This window comes from Homo sapiens, chromosome 1, assembly GCF_000001405.40.
Source record: "Homo sapiens chromosome 1, GRCh38.p14 Primary Assembly".
Lineage (NCBI taxonomy): Eukaryota > Metazoa > Chordata > Mammalia > Primates > Hominidae > Homo > Homo sapiens.
The window spans coordinates 83,256,028-83,267,586 of record NC_000001.11 but is presented as its reverse complement, the minus strand read 5'-3'; the positions used below and the strand labels follow the sequence as shown (position 1 = coordinate 83,267,586).

At 38.9% G+C, this 11,559-nt stretch overlaps 2 annotated features.

Annotated features, from left to right (window-relative positions):
• Positions 3,171-3,753: an enhancer, noted in NCBI's record as "OCT4-NANOG-H3K27ac-H3K4me1 hESC enhancer chr1:83729517-83730099 (GRCh37/hg19 assembly coordinates)". NCBI's record gives its function as "activates a minimal SCP1, AML or CMV promoter by ChIP-STARR-seq in naive and primed H9 embryonic stem cells {active_cell/tissue: H9 hESC(naive and primed)}" and the evidence as "EXISTENCE:reporter gene assay evidence [ECO:0000049][PMID:30033119]".
• Positions 3,754-4,336: an enhancer, noted in NCBI's record as "H3K27ac-H3K4me1 hESC enhancer chr1:83728934-83729516 (GRCh37/hg19 assembly coordinates)". NCBI's record gives its function as "activates a minimal SCP1, AML or CMV promoter by ChIP-STARR-seq in primed H9 embryonic stem cells {active_cell/tissue: H9 hESC(primed)}" and the evidence as "EXISTENCE:reporter gene assay evidence [ECO:0000049][PMID:30033119]".

Here is an 11,559-nt window from a genome sequence, read left to right as displayed (position 1 = left end):
AGGAGTGGTGAGAGAGGGCATCCCTGTCTTGTGCCAGTTTTCAAAGGGAATGCTTCCAGTTTTTGCCCATTCAGTATGATATTGGCTGTGGGTTTGTCATAGATAGCTCTTATTATTTTGAAATATGTCCCATCAATACCTAATTTATTGAGAGTTTTTAGCATGAAGCGTTGTTGAATTTTGTCAAAGGCCTTTTCTGCATCTATTGAGATAATCATGTGGTTTTTGTCTTTGGCTCTGTTTATATGCTGGATTACATTTATTGATTTCCATATATTGAACCAGCCTTGCATCCCAGGGATGAAGCCCACTTGATCATGGTGGATAAGCTTTTTGATGTGCTGCTGGATTCGTTTTGCCAGTATTTTCTTGAGCATTTTTGCATCAATGTTCATCAAGGATATTGGTCTAAAATTCTCTTTTTTGGTTGTGTCTCTGCCTGGCTTTGGTATCAGAATGATGCTGGCCTCATAAAATGAGTTAGGGAGGATTCCCTCTTTTTCTATTGATTGGAATAGTTTCAGAAGGAATGGTACCAGTTCCTCCTTGTACCTCTGGTAGAATTCAGCTGTGAATCCATCTGGTCCTGGACTCTTTTTGGTTGGTAAGCTATTGATTATTGCCACAATTTCAGAGCCTGTTATTGGTCTATTCAGAGATTCAACTTCTTCCTGGTTTAGTCTTGGGAGGGTGTATGTGTCGAGGAATTTATCCATTTCGTCTAGATTTTCTAGTTTATTTGGGTAGAGGTGTTTGTAGTATTCTCTGATGGTAGTTTGTATTTCTGTGGGATCGGTGGTGATATCCCCTTTATCATTTTTTATTGCATCTATTTGATTCTTCTCTCTTTTTTTCTTTATTAGTCTTGCTAGTGGTCTATCAATTTTGTTGATCCTTTCAAAAAACCAGCTCCTGGATTCATTAATTTTTTGAAGGGTTTTTTGTGTCTCTATTTCCTTCAGTTCTGCTCTGATTTTAGTTATTTCTTGCCTTCTGCTAGCTTTTGAATGTGTTTGCTCTTGCTTTTCTAGTTCTTTTAATTGTGATGTTAGGGTGTCAATTTTGGATCTTTCCTGCTTTTTCTTGTGGGCATTTAGTGCTATAAATTTCCCTCTACACACTGCTTTGAATGCGTCCCAGAGATTCTGGTATGTTGTGTCTTTGTTCTCGTTGGTTTCAAAGAACATCTTTATTTCTGCCTTCATTTCGTTATGTACCCAGTAGTCATTCAGGAGCAGGTTGTTCAGTTTCCATGTAGTTGAGCGGTTTTGAGTGAGATTCTTAATCCTGAGTTCTAGTTTGATTGCACTGTGGTCTGAGAGATAGTTTGTTATAATTTGTGTTCTTTTACATTTGCTGAGGAGAGCTTTACTTCCCAGTATGTGGACAATTTTGGAATAGGTGTGGTGCTGAAAAAAATGTATATTCTGTTGATTTGGGGTGGAGAGTTCTGTAGATGTTTATTAGGTCTTCTTGGTGCAGAGCTGAGTTCAATTCCTGGGTATCCTTGTTGACTTTCTGTCTCATTGATCTGTCTAATGTTGACAGTGGGGTGTTAAAGTCTCCCATTATTAATGTGTGGGAGTCTAAGTCTCTTTGTAGGTCACTCAGGACTTGCTTTATGAATTTGGGTGCTCCTGTATTGGGTGCATATATATTTAGGATAGTTAGCTCTTCTTGTTGAATTGATCCCTTTACCATTATGTAATGGCCTTTTTTGACTCTTTTGATCTTTGTTGGTTTAAAGTCTGTTTTATCAGAGACTAGGAGTGCAACCCCTGCCTTTTTTTGTTTTCCATTTGCTTGGTAGATCTTCCTCCATCCTTTTATTTTGAGCCTATGTGTGTCTCTGCACATGAGATGGGTTTCCTGAATACAGCACACTGATGGGTCTTGACTCTTTATCCAATTTGCCAGTCTGTGTCTTTTAATTGGAGCATTTAATCCATTTACACTTAAAGTTAATATTGTTATGTGTGAATTTGATCCTGTCATTATGATGTTAGCTGTTTATTTTGCTCTTTAGTTGATGCAGTTTCTTCCTAGTCTCGATGGTCTTTACATTTTGGCATGATTTTGCAGCGGCTGGTACCGGTTGTTCCTTTCCATGTTTAGCGCTTCCTTCAGGAGCTCTTTTAGGGCAGGTCTGGTGGTGACAAAATCTCTCAGCATTTGCTTGTCTGTAAAGTATTTTATTTCTCCTTCACTTATGAAGATTAGTTTGGCTGGATGTGAAATTCTGGGTTGAAAATTCTTTTCTTTAAGAATGTTGAATATTGGCCCCCACTCTCTTCTGGCTTGTAGGGTTTCTGCTGAGAGATCTACTGTTAGTCTGATGGGCTTCCCTTTGAGGGTAACCTGACCTTTCTCTCTGGCTGCCCTTAACATTTTTTCCTTCATTTCAACTTTGGTGAATCTGATAATTAGGTGTCTTGGAGTTGCTCTTCTCGAGGAGTATCTTTGTGGCATTCTCTGTATTTCCTGAATCTGAACGTTGGCCTGCCTTGTTAGATTGGGGAAGTTCTCCTGGATAATATCCTGCAGAGTGTTTTCCAACTTGGTTCCATTCTCCCCATCACTTTCAGGTACACCAATCAGACGTAGATTTGGTCTTTTCACATAGTCCCATATTTCTTGGAGGCTTTGCTCATTTCTTTTTATTCTTTTTTCTCTAAACTTCCCTTCTCACTTCATTTCATTCATTTCGTCTTCCATTGCTGATACCCTTTCTTCCAGTTGATCGCATCGTCTCCTGAGGCTGCTGCATTCTTCACGTAGTTCTCGAGCCTTGGTTTTCAGCTCCATCAGCTCCTTTAAGCACTTCTCTGTATTGGTTATTCTAGTTATACATTCTTCTAAATTTTTTTCAAAGTTTTCAACTTCTTTGCCTTTGGTTTGAATGTCCTCCCATAGCTCAGAATAATTTGATCGTCTGAAGCCTTCTTCTCTCAGCTTGTCAAAGTCATTCTCCGTCCAGCTTTGTTCCGATGCTGGTGAGGAACTGCATTCCTTTGGAGGAGGGGAGGCGCTCTGCTTTTTAGAGTTTCCAGTTTTTCTGTTCTGTTTTTTCCCCATCTTTGTGGTTTTATCTACTTTTGGTCTTTGATGATGGTGACGTACAGATGGGTTTTTGGTGTGGATGTCCTTTCTGTTTGTTAGTTTTCCTTCTAACAGACAGGACCCTCAGGTGCAGGTCTGTTGGAGTACCCTGCCGTGTGAGGTGTCAGTGTGCCCCTGCTGGGGGGTGCCTCCCAGTTAGGCTGCTCGGGGGTCAGGGGTCAGATACCCACTTGAGGAGGCAGTCTGCCCGTTCTCAGATCTCCAGCTGCGTACTGGGAGAACCACTGCTCTCTTCAAAGCTGTCAGACAGGGACATTTAAGTCTGCAGAGGTTCCTGCTGTCTTTTTGTTTGTCTGTGCCCTGCCCCCAGAGGTGGAGCCTACAGAGGCAGGCAGGCCTCCTTGAGCTGTGGTGGGCTCCACCCAGTTGGAGCTTCCTGGCTGCTTTGTTTACCTAATCAAGCCTGGGCAATGGCTGGAGCCCCTCCCCCAGCCTCGCTGCCGCCTTGCAGTTTGATCTCAGACTGCTGTGCTAGCAATCAGCGAGACTCCGTGGGCATAGTACCCTCCCAGCCACGTGCGGGATATAAACTCGTGCTTCGCCGTTTTTTAAGCCTGTCGGAAAAGCGCAGTATTTGGATGGGAGTGACCCGATTTTCCAGGTGCTGTAGGTCACCCCTTTCTTTGACTCGGAAAGGGAACTCCCTGACCCCTTGCGCTTCCCGAGTGAGGCAATGCCTCGCCCTGCTTCGGCTCGCGCACGGTGCGCGCACCCACTGACCTGCGCCCACTGTCTGGCACTCCCTAGTGAGATGAACCCGGTACCTCAGATGGAAATGCAGAAATCACGCGTCTTCTGCGTCGCTCATGCTGGGAGCTGTAGACCGGAGCTGTTCCTATTCGGCCATCTTGGCTCCTCCTACGTTTCATAAATTTCTAAGGTAATATGTCTGTCAATATTTTCAGTGTTTAGTGACAGAAATCCAAGGAAAATTACTACCTTAAGGAAAAGGAAAATTTATTGGCTCATGAAACAAACAAGCAAAAAATAGGCTTTAGGCATTTGAATTCTGGGATTCGAAATGAAATGTTCTCTCTCTCTCAACTCCCACTTTACCTTCATTCTCACTACAAGTAGTGGCAACGTGGCCAATGGCAAATTGAAGTCAAATTTCTCTCATTGCTTACACCTCAGAAAAAGGGAGTTTTGTTTCTGGTTAGGTCCAGCAAAAGTCTTAAGAGAATATTAATTGGTATAGCCTGGGTCAAATGTCTATTTCTGTAACAATGGCCATGGCTAATCACTGGTAAGATTGTTCAGGACAGGTCATGTGTTTCGCTTGACAGAAACTGATCAACTTCTCTCAAACCACCTGAACTAATAATGAGTTTACGGTGGAACCCAGATACCAGGGGTGGGGCAGGAGTTGGGGAGAGCGTAAGCATTGTTCTCCAAAAAGGGCTCCAGATGTTATATGCATACACTCACTACTGGTATCTTACAATTCTCTTTTATAGTTGAAAAACCTGAGAGCAAAAGAGATTAGATACCTTGATTTGTATTTTCAAGCTCATTAAAATCAGATCTAATAATTTAAAACTGTGAGTTACATAACGAACAGAACACCCAGTTACCTCATTTACCAATGAGAAAACTAAGGCATCCTGGGAAAGGTAAAGTTTGAAACTTTTAGAACCAAAACAAGATCATAGGTGTTTTTGTTTGTTTGTTTTGTCATGTTGTTTTGTTTTGAGACACAATCTTGCTTCGTCGCCTAGGCTGGAGTGCAGTGGCTCACTGCAACCTCTGCTTCCCAGGTTCAAGCGATTATCCTGCCTCAGCTTCCTGTGTAGCTGGGACCACAGTTGTGTGCCACCACACTCGACTAATTTTTATATTTTTTGTAGAGATTCGGTTTTGCCACTTTCGCCAGTCTGAAGACCATAGCTTTCTTAGCACTCAGCAATACTGTCATTCCAGGCTATTAATTACATTCTTCATTCTGCCATTCCAAGCTATTAATTATATTCTTTTTGAAAATTAATAATCAACAACTGTGTGTGTGCTGCCTCTATATCTGCAAAAATATGTGATTGTATAGAAACACTCTATACTATTGCAATAAGCAAATACTTTGGTGCTATATAAAGGATAAGAAAACTGGCCCAAATTGTGAGATTTTTTTTCTGAGTTGATATTTTGAGTGTGAATAATTTTTATAACCGTTAATTAAAAGGTAAGATCTTTTAAGTGCTGACTTATACATCATAGTCTTAACTGCTTTTCTGAGATCTTTGATATCTAGAACAAAGGTGAATTATATTGGAAGAGACATTTGAAGCATTTTTTGCAGCTGAAATTATCTAATGACAAGTATTTATTAATATTGTGAGCTTTTTCCAGAGGTCTTTCTTCTCAAAGCATCAGCTTGGAATCCTGCCATCTAGCAGGACTCTATTTATTCAAAGAGGGTGCTTACTGTCAGGACTGAGTGCTCTACATACTCTCCTGGGAATTCAGAGCCTTACAGTTCTTGTATGAATCCTTTTCTCTATTTCTTACCTAAGATGTATCTACTCCTAAAACCATTCATTTGTACCTCTCTTTAATCCCAAAACTGACCTTTTTTGTGGGAAAAGCCCCTGTTGCCTGAGAAACATTTTCTACTTGGGAAGGGGTCAGGCAAAACCTAAACTTCATTTGGAGTTGAGAGTCACACTGATTCAGAAGGATGCTCCTGGTCATATTTGGGAATTTTATTTTGTAGGTGCAGTATCCTTAGAACATCTTCCTCCTAATTAAGCCAATTTTCACATAAATTTGAAAAAGAAGTGCACTTTTCAATGGGAATATATATATACATACATATATGTATATATACATATATGAATATATACACATATATATGTGTGTGTATATATATATTTTGCAGTTGGAAAAGGAGTCCTTGTAGAAGAAGATCAACATTTATTGGGAAAATTCTTTGGTGTATTGCTTAGAGTAGAAATAAAGAAGTTTTATGTCCTAGGAGTGGATAAAATTCATGTGCATAAAACATAAAAAGAATTTTGTAGGTGGCTCTGAATAGGTAAGAAGAGACAAGAGAAAAAACAGAAAGTATGTATGCAGTTATTTATACAGGAAGGACTCACTTTCCCTTCCTGTGATTCCCCAAATCATCTGGGACACCACCATCACAGAATACTCTGTGATGTGGTGTGTGTGTGTGTGTGTGTGTGTGTGTGCACACAACAAGTGAGGTGGATGGGCTGTAATTGAAAATAGCAGGTGCAGAGTCAAGAAGGAGGATATAGAGAAAAAAAATTAGAAATTAAACCCTAGAGAGTTGCAGAAAAATTTGGTGAGGGCCTACACATGGGTGGTAGAGCCGGGATTCTTATCAGGTGTAGCCACTTCTCTGAGACAAAGAGCCTGCCATTCTTACATCATTATTCTTTCATTGTCTAATGGGCCTGCTTCTTTGCCATATGTCATTTTGGTCCATACACTTAACAACTGAGCATCTGCAACCGTCCACCCCATAAGTCACTGTGTAATAAGAAAGGACATTTTGTAAAGTTCTTAAGTCTTTTGAACTGCCTCTTACTGTAAGTGACAAAACCTGAAACAATGACTTAAAAGAACAGATCACTTACTAGCTAATACAAAAGGAAATCAGAAATAGGTAGGGTTTAGTGTTGGCTAATCCACCACTGATATGGTTAGGCTTTGTGTCTCCACCCAAATTTCATCTTGAATTGTAATCCCCATAATCCCCGTATGTCTAGGGAGAGACCAGGTGGACGTAATTGGATCATGGGGGTGGTTCTCCCATGCTGTTCTCATGATAGTGAGTGAGTTCTCACGAGATCTGATGGTTTTATAAGGAGCTCTTCCCCCTTTGCTCTTCACTATTCTCCTTCTTGCTGCCTTGTGAAGAAGGTACCTGTTTGCTCTTTGCCTTCTGCTGTGATTGTAAGTTTCCTGAGGCCTCCCCAGCCATGCTGAACTGTGAGCCAATTAAACTTCTTTCCTTTATAAATTACCCAGTCTTGGGCAGTTCTTTATGGCAGTATGAAAACAGACTAATACAAGCACCTCAAAAATCTTCCCATGGACTCTCTCTCAATTGGCTTTATCTCATTTCTTCACAGATTTGAGACAAATGCCTAAAGTAATAGGGGCTACATGTTTTCTCATTCACAACCATTGGGGAGAAATATAAAGCTTTCCTATTCTCTCTTAAAAGCAAGGAAGAACTTTCCCAAGGGCCTGTCATAAACCTCAAGGCATGGCTTGTTGTCCAGAATTGGTCACATGACCATGACTAAAGCAATCTCTGGCAAGTTGGTTGGGAGTATCCCAGGACCAACTAAACCTGCTTCCAGACCTGGGGAAAAATTCCCAAATTGTCATCTTGCTATTTGAGGGGAGTATTAATACACCACATTGTATCAACTGCCAAATATTATGTTAGATGACAGATAAAACTGGTACCCATTACTTTCCACCTGAGAACGTTCCAAATAACTGTAGAATAAGATTTCAATTGCTAAGACAAGTATGGAAACTTGACCATAAAACCGATTTTTTTTTTCAGTTCTGAAAACTGTAAAGAGTCCTACTCATAGTGAGCAGGGCTGAGAAAATGATTCTAAAGTATTGCTAGAAATGCTCTATGAACTAATGATGTTTTGAGTTCTATGAGAATATTTTTTAGGTATTTCTGATTATTTTCTTCTTTAAAACTTGACAAAATAAAGAGCATTTCTGAATTGTTCACCCATGAAAATGACAGAGCTCAAACTTGAAACTTTTATGTAAAGAAGGGAGTCAGGAATGTTTATGCTTATATCACATTTTGTGCAGAAAATGATCCTTAAATGTAAAGGGAAATCAAGATGAGCACTTTTCTTCTCATCCATTCACATTGACATTGCCTTTGTAAGAGAACTCATCAGGAAGGATTATGTAAAGTATCCTGAATATTTTCGCAGACCAAAGAGGGAATCAACTCAAGGAAGGCACTGGTTAATGGTTTGATCTCAAACAGAGAGCACTTTCTCTGATGACCGTTGGCTGTACCTACATCTGATGGGTTTGTTTATTTTTAATTGCTCCACAGTTGTCCCAGAGTGTGAGAAGTCGAGTTCCATTGAGCTGGCACTTCTAGTTTTAATTTATGCATGAGTATGTACATTGTTTTTCTCCTGCAGTTCTCAAAGAATTTTATGAGCCATTACTGAGTGACTAAAATGGGTGCAGATTTTGCAAGCCTCTGCCAGAAGATGTTTATTACTGTCATCATTCTTAGGAAAATCATGTTCCAGCAGGTTCAGGCAGTGTGCAAAACGTGGCACATGTGTGAATTGGCCATTTCACACTGCTCTTACAATATTGTCAGTAATAATAAAACCAAGGGAAAGACCTTGGGGAGGGGGATAAGCTACACATTAATTTGGTCATGAAGCTTTGATTTGTGATCTTTGTTAGACCCAGAGATGCAAAGTGCAGCTGGTTTTGTAAACTTCCCACCATGGGCTGAGGCAATAGCTTTATTTTAAAAGTTCCCACTTCTGAGGGTGGTTCCTATCTCATGAATTCATGTCCAGAATGTAATATCCTTGAAAGCTTCTGGATGATTCTGTCTCTGTACTTGTTTTGTTAATTTTGAAAAACCACATCACATGTCATCTAAACTTCAGTGGTAAGAAAAGCAAAACCCACTCAAGGTGGCAATTCAAATTACAGCACATCACTAGCATTGTAAAGCCTACTGCAAACACTTCCATATTCATCTTTCCGCCTGGCATCCCTATATTTCTAGAACAATGTTTTGTCTTCCTTTGGGATGGTTGTTTTTTGGTGGTGTGAGCAGAGACCAGACATGTGAATTTGTACACATATTCAGCTAAATATCTCAGGTCCATACCTCTTGTCTATTACATTATATTGTCCCTACTTCCTCTTTCATCTGTTTCAGTGCCACTTCTCTTTGGATTCCTGAGAGTAATTGTCATGATGCAGCCATTTTTATATATCCTCAGAAACACTCTCAATATTTATATCCACTAATTGTATATAATTTATTTATTGTAATAAATTAAAAATGGGGAACTTATGTTTAATATTATCCCATAAAGGTTAAACTTTATTTCAAAAAGTCTAAATCAATAAACACTCCAAAATTTATGCCATTTATATAAATAGGTAGCATATATTGATAACCTCTTAGTTCCAGTACGTATAAATTAGCAAGAATAATTTGGGTTGAATTTTCTAAGGAGGGCATATAAACTTCCCTATAAAGTTCTGCAATCAAGGGTGAAAATATAAACAGCACAAAGGAGTAAAAGATGGGGCCTGGACTATCACCCTTATTGTTATTATTATTTATTTGTTCATTTATTTTTTGAAACTGAGTCTCACTCTATAGCCCAGCCTGGAATGCAATGGCACAATCTCAGCTCACTGCAATATCCGCCTCCCAGGTTCAAGTGATTCTCCTTTCTCAGCCTCCCGAGTAGCTGGGATTACATGTGCGTGCCACCACGCCTAGTTAATTTTTGTATTTTTAGTAGAGATGGGATTTCACCATGTTGGTCAGGCTGGTCTCAAACTCCTGACCTTGTGATCCACTCGCCTCAGCCTCCAAAAGTGCTGAGATTACAGGCATGAGCCACCGGACCCGGCCCACACCTATTATTAATTAAATCTAAGTTTAAAGCAAATTTTTTAGAGTTAGAGTGAAATGGCCTTCCTAAGTCTGAAGCTCAGAGTTAGAGAGCCTATCCATCCAGTCAAACAGACTGGGTCAAGATACCTCTTGCCTGCAACGGCAGAGGCTGCCCTTTATACATGAGAGGCAACTTCCTCCCAGAGCTGAGCAAACTGTTCCCAATTTTAGTAATCAGTAAGAAGGCAGAGAGAGCCTTCTGCAGTACTTAGGGATGAGTCCTCTTCATTAAGACCAGGAGCGTTGAACTGACTTTCCTACCTAACATTCCCATAATTACTGGGTGTATGTGTGGTCACTGACTGAAATAATCAAATGAAAACTACAGCCAGTCTGTGTCTTATCTTTATTTATTTTGTTTCCCATAAAAAGTTGTCTTTTTTTTGTACTTTTACAAAAAAAAAATGTATTTTAAATAACTCATGTATTGCAGTTTAAATGAGATTTCAAGTACAATTTCATGGGACATACTTATGCTAAAATTTAATTATTGTTTATCTGAAAATCAAATTTAAATGGGTGCCAAGTATTTTTATTCAATAAATTTGTCAACCCTAATTTTAAGGAATTTTATTTTTGTTTAAAAATGTTTGAATTCATCACTTCCAGCTCTGGTTCTAAATTTCCATGTTTTATCCCCAAGACTCACTTTTCTTCCTAGCTATTTAAAAACGGCCTGGTTTTGGGTTAGGGGTAATTGCCTCATTCCATGATCCAGAGATGATTTTTGATAGGTCTAACCCTGTTGAGGTAACCCTATGCCACAATAGTAATTGATTCAGGGACCTAAAATCTATACCGTTAGCATATGATATTTCTTTGTTGACAGATAATTTTTCTGGAATGGGCATATGATCAAATAAAAGGGCCAAGTTGAGTCAAGCTTCAAAAATAATTATGCTTCTAGGAAAGATGATTTTCATATTTCTCAAAGACCTACTTGTAGCCAACTTTTGTTTCATTCTGAAAGACGTGGCATAAAGATATGAAGTCTGGAACTATAAGTCATTTTGACACCATGAAGAAAGTCAGTGCTGGGATAATGCTAGTACTATGGAATATAGGGAAATAAAATTAAACTGGATCTTTAATGGTAATACTGAGCTGCTAAACTGAGCCAAATACAATCCATTCATCCTCTGGAACTTCTGGTTATATTAGCCAACAAATCACTCATATCATTAAACATTCATTGTTAGGTGAGGTTGGGTTTTCTAATTATTACTATTATTATTATTTGAACTGTGAAGAGTCCTAATTTATACCAAACATTTTTATCCAATACAAATTGTTTTTGTTAAGGGACACTAATATTCTGGAGTTTGAAGGTGAAATGAATCACAAAAGTTCCTCTGTTATCAATATGAAATATTTTTGGACTCAGACCACAGTATATGCTTAAATCACTGAGTGGATTGTAGTCAAAACTTAAAGTTGATTTTTATGTCCAAATGCTATGTTGTGCTCACTCTGTGATCAATTGCTAAATTGAGAATGCAGAGGCAGTGAGATGATCACTGAGATAATTAAGACTTAATTCTCGAAGACTAAATTGAATACCTGGAGCTGAATTCAAAAACAAGAACAGTCCTAATTTGGAAGTGGCAAAAGAAAAAAGAGCTTTTATGAGATGTTTGAAACATGTCTGTAGACATCAATTTCCTAATATTTATTATTGAATATACACTTTTATATTTCTGGTTTTGGGTAAAAGTATTTTAATAGATGTCACAGTTTTCAGTGTGAAAAGTAGAAAAAAGTTA